This window comes from Homo sapiens, chromosome 10, assembly GCF_000001405.40.
Source record: "Homo sapiens chromosome 10, GRCh38.p14 Primary Assembly".
In the NCBI taxonomy this organism is placed as follows: domain Eukaryota; kingdom Metazoa; phylum Chordata; class Mammalia; order Primates; family Hominidae; genus Homo; species Homo sapiens.
Window position 1 is genome coordinate 38,089,747 of NC_000010.11, and position 23,763 is coordinate 38,113,509.

At 41.0% G+C, this 23,763-nt stretch overlaps 1 protein-coding gene and 1 pseudogene across 27 annotated transcripts in view, besides 1 other annotated feature; one reads left to right on the forward strand and one right to left on the reverse strand.

Annotated features, from left to right (window-relative positions):
* On the reverse strand, positions 1,820–2,381 carry FXYD6P2 (FXYD domain containing ion transport regulator 6 pseudogene 2; annotated as a pseudogene).
* Positions 4,545–4,734: an enhancer, noted in NCBI's record as "active region_3274". NCBI's record gives its function as "activates an Ori minimal core promoter by ATAC-STARR-seq in GM12878 lymphoblastoid cells {active_cell/tissue: GM12878}" and the evidence as "EXISTENCE:reporter gene assay evidence [ECO:0000049][PMID:35858748]".
* The window catches only part of ZNF37A (zinc finger protein 37A), a 55,957-nt gene continuing 36,784 nt past the window's right edge, over positions 4,591–23,763 (forward strand). For 5 of the 27 annotated variants that reach the window (NM_001324258.2, NM_001324260.3, NM_001178101.3 and 2 more), the window contains exons 1-4: positions 4,591–4,744; positions 5,792–5,883; positions 5,998–6,058; positions 6,828–6,886. In NM_001324258.2, coding sequence (NP_001311187.1) covers positions 6,872–6,886 — 15 coding nt within the window. In that variant the 5' untranslated portion in view covers positions 4,591–4,744; positions 5,792–5,883; positions 5,998–6,058; positions 6,828–6,871. Of the gene's footprint in view, positions 4,745–5,184; positions 5,479–5,611; positions 5,888–5,997; positions 6,059–6,827; positions 6,887–23,763 lie in introns of all 27 variants that reach the window. The other 22 variants (NM_001324257.2, NM_001324259.3, NM_001007094.4 and 19 more) reach the window with 13 other exon arrangements.

Sequence of the window (23,763 nt, forward strand, 5' to 3'; positions counted from 1 at the left end):
ACTGCTTTTGGTGGCAATGATACAAATACAAATTGTGGTTGATGTTTGCATAAGGGCACAGACATGCTTGGTCCAAGCTGAAGTAAAGATTCCAAGTTGTGGACCGTCCTGCCCACATTCTGCATCATGATGTCAAAATAGCATCTGATGTTCTTTGCATTTTCATTGAAGTAATTATCACAAAATTGTTCTCTTACTTCAGCATTTACACTATTAGAATTGAGTGATTAAAGGATTGTGTGATTTTTTTTTTGGCATTCGATATTCTTCATTTCCTTTGCAGTTAGAAACTCATTGGCTCCTGTAACTAACACAGTTGATAAAGTTGTTAGTTTACGTAAAGTCTTGAAATAATAATTTTAATTTTCAAGAAAAGACTCCAAAATTTTTGTTTACTTTAAAAATACTCCATTGAGTGAAGTTTACTTGTTTTTTATTCATAGTTTTTTTTTTTCACTAGGAAACAAATATTTTATTCCTTTTTTCTGTTGCTCAGAGGACAGATCGTGATACAGAAAACAGCAGTCTAGCCACAGAGGCTGGGTTTGGTTGATTTCCACAGGCACATGGAGGACAGGAATGGTGGGATCCGGTTTGAGCTCCCAGTCTCATTATGACTTTTGACCTCTTCCTGTACCCTCTGCAGCAGTGCAGCATGGAGCCTACTGGGTCTCTAACCTACTTAACTCACCTCTGTGACCACTGAGGATGCGGGAGTTGTCTCTGCTGACCAAGGGGACATGGGCAGAGAAGCAAAGGCCCCTTACTCTCCCTCTGTCCATTCCAGTGTGCTGGCCGCAACAGAATGGGAATCCTTCAGTCATCACCTGCTGGAGACTCAGCTTCAGGGATGGGAGCCTGTGTCCAGAAAAACTGGGCTATAGATTGAAGTCTCAGAAGCAGGAAGGTTGGAGATGGGTGGGGCACCAGAGCCCCTGTGGTTATTGCTGATAAGATATGCAGGGGCTACATTCCCCAAGTGTAGATTATTAGTCCTGGGCCCAGGCTGGGCACGGTGGCTGACACCTGTAATCCCAGAATTTTGGGAGGCCTAGGCAGGTGGATTGCTTGAGGCCAGGGAAAACCCCATCTCTACTAAAAATACAAAAATTAGCTGGGCATGGTGGTGCGTGCCTATAGTCCCAGCTACTCGGGAGGCCCAGGCATGAGAATCCCTTGAACCCATGTTGCCATGAGCTGAGATCGTGCCACTGCATTCCGGCTTGGGTGACACAGTGGGACTCTGTCTGAATAAAGAAAAAGAAAAAAAGCAGCAGCCCTGGGCCTGGAATCCCTGGGTGCTATGTGAAAGGCAGGGCAGATGGGGCTCCCTGGGGCTTCCCCAGGGAGAAAAATAACCATGGAAGGGTATAGTAGCCTCCTGAAGGTAATGCCGGGCTCACAAACTCCTTGCTTTGCTTTGTATCTCCAATTGCTGATCTTCAGAACAGACGGGTTGGAGTGGGATAAGGAAGTGAGGTTCTTGTAAAAGAAGTGAAGAGACTCCATGAAGAAAGATGAGGAAAGTGGTGCAAACCTTCCCAGGTCCCAAGACAGCTGGAGACTCCTGCCCATGCTCTAAAGGGAAGGAGCTAGACTCTCCAGGGAAAAAAGCAGACTCCCAGGAGTGAGAGGTGATGGGGGGCAGAGAGGAGCAGACGGCCACATGGCTCAGCCCCTGCCCAGGAAAGTGAGTCCACAGTTCACTAACTATAATCACCATGAACAAGTAGCCATGAACACTATAGTCAGCAAACACACACACAGACACATAACACGAGTTGGAGGAGCCTGCAGGCTGCAGTGGTGAGGCAAGAGATTAGTTGGATCATCAGGTGGAGGAATGGTGTTAGAGGGGACAGGGAAGGGCATGGCAGGACAAAAAAGTTCTTGGCTTCTCTTCTGGAAAGATTTGTTGCTGAAGTGGCTGTTTTCTTAAGCATCAATATTTGCATCTAAAAGTTCAAGCAGCTGCCTTCAGGTTCCGGAGGCTTCCCACTGGAGGGCTGCACTTCATTCAGCTCTCTGCTTTCTGGAGTTTTGCTGCATTTGCAGTGATGAGGTTCTCCACCTGGGCTTCCTCCTCCCCTGGGGTCCCGGGCTTCTGATTGAAACTCCACTTGCATCTGCAACCTAGGATAAGGAAGATCCCAACGGAGAAGAGGACCACAGCACATACCAACCCCTGAATCCTCAGGGTCTGTTAGTCATAATGAAAATGGTCAATTTCCTTCTCCTACTCAGCTGCACTGGCCATGACAATGAGGGCCAACAGGCTGCATAGGAATATCAGCACCACCTCCATGGTGCCTGCACAGCCAGTCCCCTTCCTGAGATGATCCCAGGAGGATGTGTCGAGTCCCAAGGAGCCTAAGAGTGGCATGTCCCTAGTTTTCAATCTCTTTAGGGATAGGATTATGCAAATTGAAAGAAGAGCAAACAATGTTACTGAAATAATCCATGGCATAATGGAACCTGAATGCATTAAAGAAATAATGGAGGGCAGGAGAGGTGGCTCACATCTGTAATCTCAGCACTTTGGCAGGCTGAGGCGGATGGATCAATTGAGGTCAGGAGTTTGAGACCAGCCTGGTCAATATGGTGAAACCTAGTCTCTACTAAAAACAGGAAAAATTAGCTGGGCGTGGTGGCATGTGCCTGTAATCCCAGCTACTGGGGAGGCTGAGGCAGGAGAATCACTTGAATCTGGGAGGCGGAGGTTGCAGTGACCCGAGGTCTTGGCACTGCACTGCAGCCCAGGTGACAGAATGAGATCCAGTCTAAAAAAAAAAAAAAAAAGAAATAATGGAATATTCACAAGTGTCAAGACTGTTTCTTAAAATGCAAAAGCATTAGGCTGGGTGCAGTGGCTCATGCCTGTAATCCCAGCACTTTGGGAGGCCGAAGCGGGCGGATCACGAGGTCAGGAGTTCGAGACCAGCCTGGCCAACACAGTGAAACCCGATCTCTACTAAAATTACAAAAATTAGCCGGGTGTGGTGGCACAAGCCTGTAGTCCCAGCTACTTGGGACGCTGAGGCAGGAGAGTCGCTTGAACCCAGGAGGCGGAGGTTGCGGTGAGCCGAGATCATGTCACTGCACTCCAGCCTGGGTTACAGAGCCAGACTCCATCTCAAAAAAAAAAAAAAAAAAAAAAAACATTATGAGCAGGAAAATAAATTGTGTCTCGAAGTGATAATCATTGTTGTACTTACCATGACTGTCTTCTGAAATGCATCTCAACCCTTGAATAATTTGATTCTTTTACATGGATGGTACTAAATGCTTTTCCAGCATGGGAACAAGTGGGATTATCATCAGTGGTGGTAAAGAAGGGAATAGAAATGGAGAAAAATGCTTCTTTTTTGGTCAGTGGACATTTATTTTTTATTTTTATTTTAACTTAAACTTCAATAGCTTTTGGAGTACAAGTGGTTTTTGGTTATGGATGAATTATAAAGTGGTGGATTCTGAGATTTTAGTGCACCTGTCACCTGAGTAGTGTACACTGTACCTAATGTATAGTTTTTTTTTTTTCATTTTTGAGATGGAGTTTTGCTCTTGTTGCCCAAGCTGAAGTGCAATGGCGCGATTTCAGCTCACTACAACCTCCACCTCTCGAGTTCAAGGGATTCCCCTGCCTCAGCCTCCCAAATAGCTGGGACTGCAGGTGTGTGCCACCACGCCCAGCTAATTTTGTAGTTTTAGTGGAGACGGGGTTTCACCGTGTTACCTAGGCTGGTCTTGAACTCCTGACTTCGTGATCCACCCGCCTCCGCCTCCCAAAGTGCTGAGACTACAGGCGTGAGCCACCGCGCCTGGCCATGTGTAGTTTTTTTAACCTCCGGCCTCCTTCCTACCAGCCCCTTCTGAGTCTCTAAAGTCCATTATATCACTCTGTATGCCTCTGCGTACTCATAGCTTAGCTCCCACTTATAAGTGAGAACCTACGGTTTTTGGTTTTCCACTCCTGTATTACCTCTGCCTGTGAACTTTAAAAAGTTATCGTGATCAAGAGATCCTGCATACTCCTGAAGAATGGAAAATGCATGTTTGCCATGCAAGATGGTATTACGTGGTTTAACAAATAAAATTTGAAGAGCAATTCCGAGTTATCTTTACGACAGCTTACAGGCTGGTAATGCTCATGTCCAGCGTGTTTTCTCACGGTTAGCGTCCAATGGACCAGAAAGGAGCAAGTGAAGCTCTCCACACTGGCGCAAGTGTAGGTGGTGCTGCGGCAGCGTCGCGGGGCCACAGGAACCGACCTCGTCTGGAGAAATTCCACTCGTGAATTCTGCCAAATGAGGAAGTGTTGAGGACGGCCAAATCATCAGGGGGATGTAATTCATGAGAAAGCTGTGTAATTTAAATACTCATAATTTATTTCAGCTAACGAATAAAACTGCAGTACTGCACTTGCCGCATCTGGGAACTAACTGCCCAATGCGGCTGAAACCTCATGCCCTTTCAAAAGGAGTGGCGCGAGGGCTTGTGGGAAATGTAGTCTGCACTTTCTAAGGGAGCGGCGCGAGGGCTTGTGGGAAATGAAGCGTGCACTTTCTAAGGGAGCGGCGCGAGGACTTGTGGGAGATGTAGTGTGCACTTTTCGGCCCCCGTCGCGGGAGCCGCTTCGGGCCTTCTGGGCATGTCTGCCATATGGCTCCAGGTTTGTTTTTCTCCCCGGCACTCTGACGGGGAGGGCTCCCGGCATCTCCTGGCGTCCGGGTAGAGGACGCGGAGGGTGAGTAAGGGAGGGCAGGGGCGAGGGTGGACTGGGGGTTCCGCGCGGCCTGGGGGTGGGAGAGAGGGAACGCCTTTGCCGCCTGGCCTGGGTCCGAATCCTGCCTCGGTTCTTGTGCTCCCAAAGGGAATGCGCAAGTCCCGCGCCTGTGACAAGTGAGGTTGGATTTTCTCTTCCCTGAGGTGAAGGATGCCCGGAGGCCTCCGCAGGACGGCGCAGAAACGGGCCTTCTGCCCAATAGATGCGCGCTTCTCTCATTCTTTCCCCTCAGAATCTCGCTGTCCTCACAACCACCTGTGGTCGGCGTCGCCGCGGTGTCACTGCGATGCCGAGGCGAATGGGGTGGGGGGAAGCGCCCGCGGGGCGGGGAGGGACCCTGCAGGCGCGGACTCCACACCCAGCCTCTGGCCAGCGTCACTCGGCTTGCTGTGTCCTCGCAGGTCGCAGCTTCATTGCCTGATGTCTTCGGGAAGTATTTTGAAGTCATCGTGGCTGTGGATTGGGGAATTTCTTGTTTCCACTGACCTGTGAGGCCGCGCACGCGGAGGGAGGCACCCCAGGCCCTCCGGCACTGTCCAGCCTCGCCTGTGTCCCCATTAGCACCAGTGGGCATTTTCAGAGGGTCCAGCTCATGGCTCAAGTGACAGGAAGATGTAGGAGCTTTCTGTCTTGAATGAGGATTCGAACCAAAGGGCTTAGGCCCAGCTGTCTTGGAGCAAAGCAGCTGTTGTGGGGTAAGAAGGGAAGGGTGGGGGGCGAGGGCCCAGGGGCCCTCCTAGGAGGACACCCAACCCGTTGGGCTGACACCTCACTAGAGATCTAGAGCACGGGTGGGAGGAGCAGAGGCTCGATTTGTGTCCTTTCCAGACCCCCACAGGCTGGGAGCTTTGTGCCCATTCAGATGTGGGGGCAGAAGAGGGCAAGGCCGAAGGAGCAGACAGCACCGCTTCTTGGGGAGTTGTGAAGGCATCATGCGGAGGGAAGAGCTTAGCAGCCAAGTGGAGGACAGCACCCTCCATGCCTGGATTCGTTACTCGCTCGTTCTAGATGCTGAGCTGCTGGCGCACTGCAGCACAACTAGAGATGTACGGATGCCCCCATCTTGATCTTACAGAATCAGAGGTACAGCCGCGAGAAAGGTCTGTAAGTTATCTATTTACGCTTTATTTAAAAGATGGGATGGGGTGGGGTGGACAGGAAACGAGCTTAACGTGTTAAGTTACTGATGACATTGACACATTTTGTTGTGGCAGAGTCAAGAACAGACAGAGTCGCTTGAGGACTCAGGAGGGTGTTTGCTGCGTTGACAACAGAGTAAGTAAAAATCAGTTTGCTTTTTTAAATCCAAAGATTGTTTTGAGAACCTCAAATCAAGTTAGAGCAAGTTCGTTTTCCTTCCAAAAAAACTGGGCTGGGCTGGGCACGGTGGTTCACGCCAGTAATCCCAGCACTTTGGGAGGCTGAGGGGGGTGGATCAAGAGGTCAGGAGTTCGAGACCAGCCTGGCCAACATGGTGAAACCCCGTCTCTACTAAAAATGCAAAAAATTAGCCGGGTGTGGTGGTGCGCACCTGTAGTCCCAGCGACTTGGGAGGCTGAGGCAGGAGGTTGCGGTGAGTCGAGATCATGCCATCGCACTCCAGCCTGGGCAACAAACAGGGCAGGACTCTGTCTCAAAAAAGCAAACAAACAAACAAAAAAAACTGGGCTGAAAAATACCACATCGCTTTTTTCAAAACCTTGTTGGGATTCTCTGGTTTGTAATAAAGATTAAAACCTGAGTATTTTTGTTTAGCATCAGTTTTAATGAAAGTATTATGTTCCACTCTTTGGCTTTTCCTAACTTGCTTAATTAGTTTAATATATCGGTTTGCATACTCTGTTAGAGTACAGCATAAATTGTTTTTAAGTCAGTAGAAAACAAACGTTTTTACATTTGAAAACTAATGAGTCCAAGCAGTACATAATCATGCCAGAGTCATGCATGGGCGTGTGAGTATCTCCCTTTCAGAGATGTTTTGCCGGCTGCGAAGTGGACCTTTTAAGGCAAGTGACATCACTCATGATCTTTTCTTATTTCTCAGCTACACCCTCACAGTTTGCTCTGCTCTTCCAACACCAGTGGAAGATGATCACATCCCAGGTAAGTTGTTTATTTTTTCACCGTTTTGCTTAAAAGTAATTATTGAGGTTTAAAAAATGTCTATACATTCATATGAAAGTAGAAATAACATCAGGGAAAATATAGAGGAGAGGTCACATTACATTTCATGGGTCAAATGCAGCCTGCCGCATGTTTTTTTATGGTCCACAAACGAAGGATGGTTTTTATATTTTTAGGTGGCTGAGGGAAAAAAAACAAGAATTATATGAAATTCAGATTTCATTATATATAAAGTTTTATTGGGACTCAGCTATACTCATGTATTTATGTGTTGTCTGTTGGTACTTTCATACTATGAGGGCAGAGTTGACTGGTTGCAGCAGAGACTGTAATGGCCCACAAGCCTAAAATATTTACTGTGAGACCCTTTACAGAAAATGTTTGCTGATTTCTGATAAAGAGTTGATGAAGAGTAAAACAAAAATGTCATGTAAGTGAATGCAGATCTTGTGATCTCACAGAGTTGTGAAACTGGAACATAAAACAGTTTGTCAATGGGCTTTATTAGGTGACACTGTGAAACTTCTGATGACAATCTTGCAGTTACATGAAAAAGTAGTACAACGAAGTGAATAATTCATGTGCAGTCCAGGGGAAAACTTAAGCGATATCAAGAGAAAGTATGTGATTAAAAAATTCAAATAGGCCGGGCTAGGTGGCTCATGCCTATAATCCCAACACTTTGGGAGGGCGAGGTGGGTGGATCATGAGGTCAGGAGTCCGAGACCAGCCTGACCAACATGGTGAAACCCCGTCTCTACTAAAAATACAAAAATTAGCTTGGCATGTTGGCGTGCACCTGTAATCCCAGCTAGTCAGGAGGCTGAGGCAGGAGAATCGCTTGAACCCAGGAGGCGGAGGGTGCAGTGAGCCGAGATTGAGATTGCACCACTGCACTCCAGCCTGGGTGACAGAGTGAGACTCTGTCTCAAAAAAAAAAAAAAAAAAAAAAAAAAAAAAATCACATGAATTGTGTAGCATTAGGACTTATGGTTGTTTAAAGAAACAGTCCTGGTAGGCTAGGGTGATCATGGGTTGTTAGGATGTGGCAGGCTTTGTGACAGCCCTAGAGACTGGGCAGAACTGGAATATTTGCAATAACTTTCAAGAGATTCTACCTAAAAAAAAAATTATGGTAAAATACACATCACATGAAATTCACAATTAAGCCATTTTAAAGTATAGAATTCAATGACTTTAGTACGTTCACAATGTTGTACCACCATAACCACCATTTATTTCTGGAATATTTTCATCACACCAAAAGGAAACATAGTACCCTTAATAAGCAGTGTTGTAACTTAATAAGCAGTTGCTCCCTTTTTCCCCTCTGCTCCAGCCCCTAGCAACCAATAATCTCCTGTCTTTATAGATATGCCTGTTTTAGATATGGCATACAAATGGAATCATACAATTTGTAGCCTTTTGTGTCTGATCTCTCACTTAGAATAATGTTTTCAAGACCCATTTATGTTGTAGTTGTATATCAGTACTTTGTCCCTTTTTATGACTGAACAATATTCTATTATATGGATATACCAACTTTTGTTTATCCATTCATCTGTTGATGGACATTGGGGGTCATCCTGTGTTTCGCTATCGTGAATAGTGCTCCTATGAGCATTCATGTACAAATATTTGTTAGAATACATGCTCTCAGTTGTTCTGGGTATATACCTACGAGTGAAATTGCTGGGTCATATGGTAAGTTTACGTTTAATTTATTGTGAAACTGACAGTTTTCCACAGCAGGGTGCTTTGCAATCCATAGGAATTTTTAGTTAGCTTTTCTATTTCTGCAAAAAAGTATGTTGAGTTTTTGATAAGTATTGCATTGGGTAAGTATTGGAGTGGGTAATAACACTTTGGGGAGTGTTATCATCTTAATATTAAATCTTATAATCCATGAATGTAAGATTTTTTTCCCCTAGGTCTTCTTTCCTTCATTAATGTTTTGTAGTTTTCAGTGTACAAGTGTTGCATATCCTTGCTTAAATTTATTAGTTTTTCATTTAAATGCTATTGTAAATTATATGAAATTCAGACTTCAGTGTCTATAAAGTTTTATTGAGACTCAGCCATACTCATGTATTTATGTATAGTCTGTGGGTACTTTCACACTACGAGGGCAGAATTGACTGGTTGCAGTAGAGACTGTAATGGCCCATAAGCCTAAAATTTTTTTGTTTAAATGCTATTATAAGTGGAATTGTTAATTTGCTTTTTGACTGTGCACAACTAATTTTTGAGTGTTGATCTTGTATCCTGTAATTTTGCTGAATTTGTTTCCTACTTGTAGTAGTTCCTTTGTGGATACTTCAGTATTTTTTGCATATAAGATCATGTCATCTGCAAACGAAAATATTTTTATTTCTTTCCAATTTGGGTGTGTGTATTTATTTAGCCTAATTGCTGTGGCTGGAATTTTTAGTACAATGTTGAATATATGTGGCCAAAGCAGGAATCTTTATTTATTGTTAGTTTTTTGTTTTAGCAATCTTAACCATTTTGGGATGTACAATTCAGAAGCAGTGTTATGTATGTGTATTCATATCGTACATATAATCTCCAGAACTTTTTCATCTTGGAAAATTGAAATTCTGTACCTATTAAACAGTAACTCCCCATTTTCCCTTCCTCCTTGCCCCTGGCAACCACCATCCTACTTTCTGTTCTATGAGTTTCACTACTTTTGCTATATCTCATTTAAGTGAAATCATACAGTATTTGTCTTATTGTAACAGTCTTATTTCACCTAGCATAATGTCCTCAAGCTTCCTCAGTGTTGTAGCATGTGTCAGAATTTATCTCCTTTTTAATGTTGAATGATATTTCATTGTACCCATGTTTTATTAATTCATCTGTCAGTGGACATTTGGGTTCCTTCCTCCTTTTAACTGTTGTGAATAATGTTACTGTGAACGTGGGTGTACAACTATCTCTTTGAGATCCTTCTTTCAGTTCTTTTGGTTATATACTCAAAAGTGGTATGGCTGGAATCTATGGTAATTCTATTTTTAATTTCTTGAGGAAACACCAACCTGTTTTCTACAGAAGGTACACCATTTTTACAGTCCCATCCTCAGTTGTGCAGGATTCTGATTTCTCCATATCCTTGCCAACACTCGTTATTTTCTTTTGTTGTTTTGATAGCAGCCATTGTAATGGGTGTATGGTAATTTTTCATCGTGGTTTTGATTTGTATTTCCCTAATGATTAGTGATGTTGAGCATATTTTCATAAGCTTGTTGACCATTTATATATCTTTTATGGTGAAATGTATTGGGGAACCTGCTCCGATAGTCACGTAGGTTCTTTTCTATTTTCCCTAAGCATCGGCCAGTTTGAGAAATAAAGGGACAGAGTATAAAAGAGAGAAATTGTAAAGCTGGGCTTCTGGGGGAGACATCACATGTCGGTAGGTTCCGTGATGCCCCACAAGCCATAAAACCAGCAAGTTTTTATTAGGGAGTTTCAAAAGGGGAGGGAGTATGCGAATAGGTGTGGGTCACAGACATCAAGTACTTTACAAGGTAATAGAATATCACAAGGCAAGTGGAGGCAGCGTGAGATCACAGGACCGCAGGACCGGTGCGAAATTAACATTGCTAATGAAGTTTTGGGCACCATTGTCATTGATAACATCTTATCAGGAGACAGGGTTTTGAGAGCAACCGGTCTGACCAAAATTTATTAGGTGGGAATTTCCTCTTCCTAATAAGCCTGGGAGAACTATGGGAGACTGGGGTCTATTTCACCCCTACAGCCTACAGACCATAGGAGACGGCCACACCCAGGGGGGCTGTCTATAGGCCTATTCCCCCAGGCTTGTATTCTGTTTCCCAGGGATGTTCCTTGCTGAGAAAATTCAGCGATATTTCTCCCATTTGCTTTTGAAAGAAGAGAAATATGGCTCTGTTCCGCTTGGCTCACTGGCAGTCAGAGTTTAAGGTTATCTTTCTTATTCCCTGAACAATTGCTGTTATCCTGTTCTTTTTTCAAGGTGCCCAGATTTCGTATTTGTGCAAACACACAAGCTCTACAATTTGTGCAGTTAATGCAATTATCACATGGTCCTCAGGTGACATACATCTTCCTCAGCTGACAGGATTAAAAGATTAAAGACAGGCATAGGAAATCACAAGGGTATTGATTGGGGAAGTGGTAAGTGTCCCTGAAATCTTCACAATTTATGTTTAGAGATTGCAGTAAAGACAGGCATAAGAAATTATAAAAGTATTAATTTGGGGAACTAATAAATGTCCGTGAAATCTTCACAATCTACGTTCTTCTGCCTTGGCTGCAGCCGGTCCCTCTGTTTGGGGTCCCTGACTTCCTGCAACAAAATGTCTGTTCAAGTCCTTTGTCCATCTTTGAATCAGGTTATTTTGTTTGTTTTGAGTTGTAGGGGTTATTTTTTATATTAATTCCTTATCAGATACATGAATTGCAAATATTTCCTCCTGTTGTGTTGGTTGCCTTTTCATTCAGTTAACCATGCCCTTTGATGCAAAATTTTTAAGTTTGATATAGTCCAATTTATTTTTACTACTGTTGCCTGTGGTTTTTGGTATTATATCCAAGAAAACATTGCCACATATAATGTCAAGAATCCATTCTCCAATGTGTTCTGTCATGAGTTTTGTAACTTTAATTTTAATTCTTAGATTTAGGTGTTTGATTCATTTTGAGTTAATTTTTTTTTTTTTTTAGTTTTGTTTTTCATGTGGCTATCCAGTTTTTCCAACACTATCTGTTAGAAAAATTGTCCTTTCCTTATTGACTGTTCTTGACAACTTTGTTGAAAATCATTTTACCATACATGCATGGGTTTTCAAGATCATTTTGGCTAGTTGAGATACCTTGAAATTCCATGTTAACTTCAGGATGATTTATTTCTATTTCTGTTACTATGTCTCCTTTGTAGACTGACCTTTTTTTTTTTTAATCAATATGTAATGTTTTGCTCTTGTAACAATTTTTGACTTAAAGTCTCTTTTGTCTCAGTATAGCCACCCTGGCATTCTTTAGGTTACTATCCTCTTCTGTCATTTCAATTTCAGCCTATTGTGTTGTGTGTTTGTATCTAACGAGAGTGTCTTATAGACTATATATAGTTGGATCATATATTTGTATTTATTTTGCCAATTTCTTTTTCCTTTTATTTTTCTTTTTTTTTTTTTTTTTGAGACAGAGTCTCACTGTGTCACCCAGGCTGGAGTGCAGTGGTGTGATCTTGACTCTCTGCAACCTCCGCCTCCAGGGTTCAAACAATTCTTCTGCCTCAGCCTCCCGAGGAGCTGGGATTACTGGTGCACACCATGACACCTGGCTAATTTTTGTATATATATATTTTTTCTTTTAGTAGAGACGGGGTTTCACGGTATTGGCCAGGCTGGTCTCAAACTCCTGACCTCGTGATCTGCCCGCCTTGGCCTCCCAAAGTGCTGGGATTACAGGTTTGAGCCACCATGCCCAGCCTATTTTGCCAATTTCTGTCTTTTAGTTGGGAGTTTAGTTTATTTACATTTAAAGTAAATGATAAACTGAAAAAGGACTTATGCCATTTTGCTATTTATTTTCCATATGTATTACATCTTGTTTTCAGTTTTTCTGTGTATGCCTTCTTTTGTGTTTTTTTCTAACGTGCCATTTTAATTCCTTTTGTATTTCTTTGTATTCATTATTTACCTAGTGTTAATACTTGGAATTGCAATTAACATCTTGAATTTATAACAATCTAGCTTGCATTAATACCAACTAAGCCTTAATATTATATAAAAACTCTGCTCCTATACAGCTTTGTCCCTGTCTTTTGTCTTCTTATTGTCACATATTAGGCCTTCATAAATTGTGTGCACATTACATAGATGCATAATTATTGTTTTATGTATCTGTCTTTTAAATCACATAAAAAAAAGAGAGAACATAAAAGCCAAGAATACAATAAGACTGGCTTTTGCATTTACTTACAGTAGTTAGTTTTATCATTTGAATTTTTTGTTTGTTTGGATTGGAGTTACTGTCTAGTATCCTTTTGTTTCAACCTGAGGGACTTCCTTTTGCATTTCTTGTAGGACAGGTCTAGTACTAACACATTCTCTCAGATTCTGTTGATCTAGGAATGTTTTAATTTCCCCTTCCTTTTTGAAAGGTAGTTTTGCCTAATGTAGAATTTTTGTTATTTTTTTTTCTTTTGGTACTTTAAAGGTGCCATTATCTTACTGCCTCTGGCCTTCATGGTTTCTAATGAAAGACTGGCTGTTAATCTTATTTCAGATCCTTTGTACATGGTTAGTCCCTTGTCTCTTGCTACTTTCAAGACTCTTTGTCTTCTGACAATTTATTATTTCTCTCAGTTTGAAGTTCTTTGATGTTATCATAATTATAGTTTCTTTAGAGTCTTGGACATAGAGATTCATGTCTTTCATCAATTTGGAAGGTCTTCAGACATTGTTTCTTCAGATATTTTTTGGTTCCCTTTTCTCCTCTTCGTTAGTAACTCTTGTTATTAACTTGTGGGTATGTTTGATGTTGTCTCTTGGATCTCTTAGGCACTGTCTATTTTTCACCATTCTTTTTCTCTGCTCCACAGAATGAGTAATCCCCATCAGTGTCTTCAATTTTGCTGATTCTTTGTTCTCTTTGAGCTCCAATCTGTCACTGATTTTCACTGATTTTAAAAAATTTTAGTTGTTGTACTTGTCAGCTCCAGACAGTCCTAATTACATTTTTATAATTTTCTACTCTACATTAATATTTTATATTTGGCACAGCATCATTCTCCTGGTTTCTGTTAGTTCTTTGTCTGCTTTCATTTAGCTCTTTGAGCACATTTAGAACAGATGATTTAAATTCTTTATCTAGTAAGACCAGTATCAAAGGTGTCTTTGAGTACAGGTTTTATTTCTTTTTTCTGTGTGTCTGTGGGTCATATTATCTTCTTTGCATGCCTCATAATTTTTTATTGAAAACTGAACATTTTGAATATTAAAATGTGCTAATTCTAGAAATCAGATTCTTTTCCTCAGAATTTGTTGTTGCTGTTTATTTTGTATTATTTGCTTATTTTGTGACTTTTATAAACTATTTTTGTAAAGTCAGTGTTCTTTGTTGTACATGGTCACTGAAACCTCTGTTCTATTAGTTTAGTGGTCGTCTGTGATTTGACAGAGATTTCTTTAAATGCCTAGAGCCAAAACAAAACAAAAAACTCTTCTGGTCTGTGCATATTGGCCCTGTTTTAGGGCGCTCCTGTAATGGCTTGCCAGGCCATTTACATCTCTGCATTAACCTTTACTTCCTGCTTACACAGAGCGTGAAGGTCAACCAGATGTGAAAGCTTAGGTTCCTCTCAGGTTTTTTCTGAGCATGCATATTGTCTTGGACTTACACATGATCTCAATTCCCTGCTTTATGCAGGAGCTTTTCAAACCCCTTATCCCCACCCCTGGCCCCATGTGTTTCCTTCCCAGTTTTTACATTCCCAGTTTTTCAGTCCATCTGCTGCTTTTCTCATCTGGCTACTGTGGCCAGATAATTGCCTTTAAATGCTTTCAACAAGCACTTCCTGGAAGACTAGCCCTGAGAAAGTTTCAAGGAAGGCAAAACAAAGACAAGCCTGTGAGCCACTTCTTCAGAGAGCCCGCATAGACAGATCAAAATACACAACTACAGTTCTCTGAAAACAAGGTGCATACTGTCCACGTTGGCACAGGCATCAGCAAGTCATACCAGGAATGTTCTGGGTGTACTAGGTTTTTAATTAGATTGGAGAATTCTGAAAAGCTTGATGCTGAGAGGTGTTTTTTGTTTTTTTTTTCTTCCCCAGCTTAATTGTTGCTTTAGTTTGGGATGGAGTTTTGGAGTTACCTTTTCCATTTTCAGCCTACCCCCCACATCAGTTTTTGAGTAATTACTCTGTGGAACAACAGATGTGCCTGGCCCATCTTGTCCTTTTCCTGCAGTACCTCTACCATTAGCCATTTCTCCAAAGGACATTGTTCTTTCTAGTGGAGGATGGAATTTAAAAACCAAGATCTGGGTGCTTATTGCTAAAGGTTGTCACTGCCTCAATCCCTCTCAATTGACAGTTAGGAAATACATGTGTGTATGTATACATACACACACACACACAGAAATACACATGTGTACACCTATTTTTGTATTGGTCTGTCTATACATATTTTTTAAACAATGAGTTTACGTAGACATTTCCCAGTTTCAATCTTAACCCCATAGCCTTTCTGTTTTCCATCTTTGTAACTTCTTTCTTCAACAGTGAGAAACCAGGCTATACCATTATCCACAATATTTATTTGCTCCTTCTCCCTGTTTGCATCCAATATTTTTTCTTTTTTTTTTTTTTTGAGATGGAGTTTTGCTCTTGGTGCCCAGGCTGGAATGCAATGGCATGATCTCAGCTCACCGCAACCTCCGCCTTCTGGGTTCAAGTGATTCTCCTACCTCAGCCTCCCAAGTAGCTGGGATTACAGACATGTGCCACCATGCCTGGCTAATTTTGTATTTTTAGTAGAGACAGGGTTTCTCCATGTTGGTCAGGCTGGTCTCGAACTCCCGACCTCAGGTGATCTGCCCACCTTGGCCTAACAAAGTGTTGGGATTACAGATGTGAGCCACCGTGCCCAGCCTGTATCTAATCTCTTACCTGCCAGTGCTACCTGTCTCCTCAGCTCTGGTTTGATCCCTTAGATCACCATTCCTGGAATTATCCATAGTTGCTATATTAAATATTCAAATCAGATTTGATGTATTAAAACATTTTAGAAGTTAAAAGGGGCCATTTGACTAAGTCTTCTTATTTTTGGAAAAACATCATTACTTTATGTAAGCTTATCAAAAATAAAATTTCTGATTATTAGCAGCACAGTATCTAAACCTGTCTCTATAGGTTGTCAAGCCACTACTTTGTCCATTAAATTATAAGGACACTTATCCCATTCATGAAGGCAGAGCTTCCTAATCACCTCCTAAAGGCCATGCCGCTTCATACTATTGCAATGGTATTAGATTTCAACATATGAAGTTGTGAAGGGGACATACATTCAGACCATAGCACTAAGTATTTTATTTTACTGAATACTACCATAAATGGAATTATTTTCTGAATTTCCTTTTGGATTGTTCATTGTTGGAGTATTTTTTTTAAAAAAACCTAATTGTTGTGTGTTGATTTTGTACTCTGCAACTATGCCAAAACTATTTGTTAGCTCATAGATGTTTTGTGGATTATATGCTAAATAATGTTATCTGCAAATAGAGTAGTTTTACTTCTGCCTTTCAATTTGAATGTCTTTTATTTTTTTTTTCTTGCCTATTTGCTCTGGCTAGAACTTTTAATACAGTGTTGAATTGCAGTGGTGTGAAAGCACTATCATTGCCTGTTCATGATCTTAGGGGGGGATCTTTCAGTCTTTCACTGTGGAGTATGTTACCTATGAGTTTTTTGTATATGTGCTTTATTATGTGGAGGAACAGGCAGCAGTCTTTGCTGTTTGGCAGCCTCCACTGGTGATACCGAGGCAAACAGGGTCTGGAGTGGACCTCCAGCAAACTCCAGCAGACCTGCAGCAGAGGGGCCTGACTATTAGAAGGAAAACTAACAAAGAGAAAGGAATAACATCAACATCAACAAAAAGGACATCCATTCAGAAACCCCATCTGAAGGTCACCAACATCAAACACCAAAGGTAAATAAATCCACGAAGATGGGGAGAAACCAGCACAAAAGGCTGAAAATTCCAAAAACCAGTACACCTCTTCTCCTCCAACACACTCCTCCACACAACTCCTTGCCTGCAAGGGAACAAAACTGGACAGAGAATGAGTTTGACAAATTGTCAGAAGTAGGCTTCAGAAGGTGGGTAATAATAACTAACTCCTCCAAGTTAAAGGAGCATGTTCTATCCAATGCAGGGAAGCTAAGAATCTTGATAAAAGGATAGACAAATTGCTAACTAGAATAACCAGGTTAGAGAAGAACATAAATCACCTGATGGAGCTGAAAAACACAGCACAAGAACTTCGTGAAGCATACATAAGTATCAATAGCTGAATCAATCAAGTGGAAGAAAGGACATAAGAGATTGAAGATCAAATTAATGAAATAAAGTGAGAAAACAAGATTAGAGAAAAAAGAATGAAAAGGAACGAACAAAGCCTCCAAGAAATACGGGACTATGTGAAAAGACCAAATCTGTGTTTGATTGGTGTACCTGAAAGTGACGGGGACAATGGAACCAAGCTGGAAAACACCTTCAGGATATTATCCAGGAGAACTTAACCAGCCTAGCAAGAGAGGCCAACATTCAAATTCAGGAAATACAGATAACACCACAAAGATACTCGTAAAGAAGAGCAACCCAAGACACATAATCATCAGATTCAGCAAGGTTGAAATGAAGGAAAACATTTTAAGGGCAGCCAGAGAGAAAGGTCAGGTCACCCACAAAGGGAAGTCCATCAGACCAACAGCAGAACTCTCTACAGAAACCCTACAAGCCATAAGAGAGTGGGGGCCAATATTCAGCATTCTTAAAGAAAAGAATTTTCAACCCAGAATTTCATATCCAGCCAAACTAAGCTTCATAAGTGAAGGAGAAATAAAATCCTTTACAGACAAGCAAATGCTGAGAGATTTTTGTCACCACCAGGCCTGCCTTACAAGAGTTCCTGAAGGAAGCACTAAACATGGAAAGGAACAACCGGTACCAGCCACTGCAACAACATACCAAATTGTAAAGACCATCGATACTATGAAAAAACTGCATCAACTAATGGGCAAAATAACCAGCTAGCATCATAACGACAGGATCAGATTCACACATAACAATATTAACCTTAAATGTAAATGGGCTAAATGCCCCAGTTAAAATACACAGACTGGCAAATTGGATAAAAAGTCAACATCCATCAGTGTGCTGTATTCAGGAGACCCATCTCATGTGCAAAGACACACATAGGCTCAAAATAAAGGGATGGAGGAATATTTACCAAGCAATTGGAAAGCAAAAGAAGCAGGTGTTACAATCTTAGTCACTGATAAAACAGACTAAACCAACGAAGATCAAAAGAGACAAAGAAGGGCATTACATAGTGGTAAAGGGATCAATGCAACAAGAAGAGCTAACGACCCTAAATATATATGCACCCAATACAGGAGCACCCAGATTCATAAAGCAAGTTTTTAGAGACCTACAAAGACACTTAGACTCCTACACAATAATAGTGGGAGACTTTAACAACCCACTGTCAGTATTAGACAGATCATCAAGACAGAAAATTAACAAGGATATTCAGAACTTTAACTCAGCTCTGGACCAAGCAGACCTAATAGACATCTACAGAACTCTCCCCACCCAAATTAACAGAATATAGATTCTTCTCAGCACCACATCACATTTATTCTAAAATTGACCACATAATTGGAAGTAAAACACTCCTCAGCAAATGCAAAAGAACGGAAATCATAACAGTCTCTCGGGCCACAGTGCAATCAAATTAGAAACCAGGATTAAGAAACTCACTCAAAACTGCACAATTACATGAAAACTGAACAACCTGCTCCTGAATGGCTACTGGGTAAATAATGAAATTAAGGCAGAAATAAAAAGTTATTTGAAACCAATGAGAACAAAGACACAACATACCAGAATCTCTGGGACACATTTAAAGCAGTGTCTAGAGGGAAGTTTGTAGCACTAAATGCCCACAACAGAAAGTAGGAAAGATCTAAAATAGACACCCTAACATCACAAAAGAACTAGAGAAGCAAGAGCAAATACATTCAAAAGCTAGCAGAAGGCAAGAAATAACTAAGAGCAGAACTGACGGAGATAGAGATACGAAAAACCCTTCAAAAAATCAATGAATCCAGGAGCTGGTTTTTTGAAAAGATCAACAAAATAGAATAGCCAGAAGAATAAAGAAGAAAAGAGAGAAGAATAAAATAGATGCAATAAAAAATGATAAAGGGGATATCACCACTGATCCCACAGAAATACAAACTACCATCAGAGAATACTATAAACACCTCTATGCAAATAATCTAGAAAATCTAGAAGAAATGGATAAATTCCTGGACACTTACACCCTCTCAAGTCTAAAGCAGGAAGAAGTCAAATCCCTGAATAGACAAATAACAAGTTCTGAAATTGAGGCAGTAAATAATAGCCTACCAACCAAAAATGTCTAGGACCAGACAGATTCACAGCCGAATACTACCAGAGGTACAAAGAGGAGCTGATACCATTCCCTCTTAAAGTATTCCAAGCAACAGAAAAAGAGGGAATCCTCTCTAACCCATTTTATGAGGCCAGCATCATCCTGATACCGAAACATTGCAGGGACACAACAAAAAAAGAAAATTCCAGGCCAATATCCCTGATGAACATTGACACAAAAATCCTCAATACAATACTGGCAAACCGAATCCAGCAGCGCTTCAAAAAGCTTATCCACCATGCTCAAGTCAGCTTCATCCCTGGGATGCAAGGCTGGTGCATCATAGGCAAATTAATAAATGTACTCCTTTCATCACATAAACAGAATCAATGACAAAAACTACATGATTATCTCAGTAGGTGCAGAAAAGGCCTTCGAGAAAATTCAACACCCCTTCATGCTTAAAACTCTCAAAAAACTAGGTATTGATGGAACATATCTCAAAATAATAATAAGAGCTATTTATGACAAACCCACAGCCAATATAATACTGAATGGGCAAAAACTGGGAGCATTCCCGTTGAAAACCAGCACAAGACAAGGATGCCCTCTCTCACGACTCCTATTCAACATAGTATTGGAAGTTCTGGCCAAGGCATTCAGGCAAGAGAAAGAAATAAAGGGTATTCAGATAGGAAAAGAGGAAGTCAAATTTGTCTCTGTTTGCAGATGACATGATTCTATATTTAGAAAACCCCATCATCTCAGCCCAAAATCTCCTAAAGCTGATAAGCAACTTCAGGAAAGCCTCAGGATACAAAATCAACGTGCAAAAATGACCACCAGTCCTATACACCAATAATAGAAAAACAGAGAGCCAAATCATGAGTTAATTCCCATTCACAATTTCTACAAACAGAATAAAATACCTAGGAATACAAGTTACACGGGATGCGAAGGACCTCTTCAAGAAGAACTGCAAACCACTGCTCAAGGAAGTAAGAGAGGACACAAACAAATGGAAAAGCATTCCATGCTTATGGATAGGAAGAATCAGTATTGTGAAAATGGGCATATTGCCCAAAGTAATTTATAGATTCAAGCTATCCCCATCAAGTTACCATTAACATTCTTCACAGAATTAGAAAAAAACTACTTTAAATTTTATATGGAACCAAAAAAGAGCCTGGATAGCCAAGATAATTCTAAGCCAAAAGAACAAAGCTGGAGGCATCACACTACCTGACTTCAAACTATACTGCAAGGCTACAGTAACCAAAACAGCATGGTACTGGTACCAAAACAGATATATAGATCAATGGAACAGAACAGAGGCCTCAGGAGTACCACACGTCTACAACCATCTGATCTTAGACAAACCTGAAAAAAGCAATGGGGAAAGGAGTCCCTACTTAATAAATGGTGTTGGGAAAACTGGCTAGCCATATAAAGAAAACTGGAACTGGACCCCTTCCTTACACCTTATACAAAAATTAGCTCAAGATGGATTAAAGACTTAAACCTAAGACCTAAAACCATAAAAACCCTAGAGGAAAACCTAGGCAATATCATTCAGTACATAGGCATGGGCAAAACTTCATGACTAAAACACCAAAAACAATGGCAACAAATGCCAAAATTGACAAATGGGATCTAATTAAACTAAAGAGCTTCTGCACAGCAAAAGAAACTATCATCAGAGTGAACAGGCAATCTACAGAATGGGAGAAAATTTTTGCAATCTATCCATCTGACATAGGGCTAATATCCAGAATCTACAAAGAACTTAAACAAATTTACAAGAAAAAAACAACCCCATCAAAAAGTGGGTGAAGGAAATGAACAGACACTTCTCAAAAGAAGACATTTATGCGGCCAACAAACATATGAAAAAAAGCTCATCATCACTGGTCATTAGAGAAATGCAAATCAAAACCACAATGAGATACTATCTCATGCCAGTTAGAATAGCAATCATTAAAAAGTCAGGAAACAACAGATGCTGGAGAGGATATAGAGAAATAGGAATGATTTTATACTGTTGGTGGGAGTGTAAATTAGTTCAACCATTGTGGAAGACAGTGTGGCGATTCCTGAAGGATCTAGAACCAGAAATACCATTTGACCCAGGAATCCCATTACTGGGTATATACCCAAAGGATTATAAATCATTCTACTATAAGGACACATGCATACATACGTTTTTTTGTGGCACTGTTCACAATAGCAAAGACTTGGAACCAACCCAAATGCCCATCAGTAATAGACTGGATAAAGAAAATGTGGCACATATACACCATGGAATGCTATGCAGCCATAAAAAAGGATGAGTTCATGTCCTTTGCAGGGACATGGATGAAGCTGGAAACCATCATTCTCAGCAAACTAACACAAGAACAGAAAACCAAACACTGCATGTTCTCACTCATAAGTGGGAGTTGGACAATGAGAACACATGAACACAGGAGGGGAACATCTCATACCAGGGCCTGTCAGGGGGTTGGGGGCTAGGGGAGAGATAGCATTAGGAGAAATACCTTATGTAGATGATGGGTTGATGGGTGCAGCAAACCACCATGGCACATGTGTACCTATGTAACAAACCTACATGTTCTGCACATGTACCCCAGAACTTAAAGTATAATAATAAAAAAAAAAAACTGTTGACTGTGGTCACCCTGTTTTACTGTCAAATACTCAATCTTATTCATTCTAATTACATTTTTGTATGCATTATTTGAAGAAATTTATCCACTCTGCCAGTCTCCCATTTTTCTTATTTATTTAATCCTAATTTCTCTTTTAAGACCAAATCCAGATGAAAACTTGGCGTATAATCTTATAGCAGTTCCCTTGTTTGTTTTGAATCACATTTCAACCCAAAGGATTCCCTTTAGCATTCCTTGCAGAGTAGATCTAGTAAAAACATACTCCCTTAGCTGGTGTTCATCTGGGAATGTCCTCATTATTGACAGGCATGTTTGCCAGGCGTAGAATTCTCAGCTACAGCTTTTTCTTTCAGCACTTTGAATATATCAGTCCAGTGCCTTCTAACCTCCAAGGTTTCTGCTGATGATCTTTTTTTTTTTTTTGAGACGGAGTCTCACTTTGCCACCCAGGCTAGAGTGCAGTGGCGCGATCTCGGCCCACTGCAAGCTCCGCCTCCCGGGTTTTTGCAGTCTCTATTTTAATTTCTAGTCATGTGTGGTCACTGAATTCTCTCTCTTTAGCTTGTGTTCAGGTACTGTTTTAACAGGCATTTTTCCTGGAAGGCCAGGATTCAAACAACAACCACCAAAAAAAAAAAAACTAAAAAAAAACCCAACAAAACCCCTTTCCTATTATTTGCAAATTGGCTCTGTCCTGGGGCACTTTTTAAGCACTTAGCCTGGTCCATTTAGAACTTCATCTTAGTCTTCACTGCTTGCTTGCACTGAGCACAGAGATTAGCCAGAAGTAAAACCTTCGGGTCTTTTGAGGTCTTTGCCAAGCTTCTCCTGTCCTAGGTATGTGCTTGGCTTTCTGAATTCCCTAACCCATGTATGCCTAGTGTTCCATTAGTGGAATGCTAAGCATGTGGGAGTTATTTATATCCTACTGCTCAGGGTCATTTCAAGGTCTGATTGCAAAAATTAAAAAAAATTTGTGCAACCTCAGACATAAACGGGCTATAATGTACACAGTGCTCTTGATTGCCCTCATTTCCCTCCAAAAAAGTCTCTCCTTAGCTTTTTTTTTTTTCTTTCGGAATTCATTTTAGAATGGTATTTATCTCCTGGATTTATCTATATTTTACAAGCTATTCTTTTATTATCTATTTTTCCAGTTTTTATTTTGTTATAATTTGTGCAATTTTATATATTTAGATTTGTACAATTCTGTATTTTACATCCATTTTCTTTTCTTTTCTTTTCTTTTCTTTTCTTTTCTTTTCTTTTCTTTTCTTTTCTTTTCTTTTCTTGTCTTGTCTTGTCTTCTTTTCTTTTCTTTCACAGAGTTTCACTCTTTTTGCCCAGGCTGCAGTACAGTGGTGTGATCTTGGCTCACTGCACACTCCGCCTCCCAGGTTCAAGTGATTCTCCTGTCTCAGCCTCCCGAGTAGCTGGGATTACAGGTGCCTGCCACCATGTCTGGCTAATTTTTGTATTTTTAGTAGAGACAGGGTTTCACCATGTTAGCCATGCTGGTCTTGAACTCCTGACCTTGTGATCCTCCTGCCTTGGCCTACCAAAGTGCTGGGATTACAGGCATGAGCCACCGCACCTGGCCCATTTTGTTTTCTAGTAGTGTTCAGAGAGTATTTGTTTTGTTTTCATAGTTAGGCAAATATTAACATTTAATTTTGGAATGCTCTTTTTTTAGTCTGTGATTTTTTTTTTTTTTTTTTTTTTTTTGAGATGGAGTCTCACTCTGTCACCCAGGCTGGAGTGTGGTGGCACAGTCTTGGCTCACTGCAATCTCTGCCTCCTGGGTGCAAGCAATTCTCCTCCCTCAGCCTCCCAAGTAGCTGGGATTACAGGCGTCCACAGTCAGGCATGGCTATTCTTTGTCTTTTTAGTAAAGATGGGGTTTTACCATGTTGGCCAGGCTGGTCTTGAACTCCAAACCTTAGATCTCTTCCAAGCTTCAGAATCATCTCTGTAGCCTTCCACTGGATATGCTCACTTCCATGA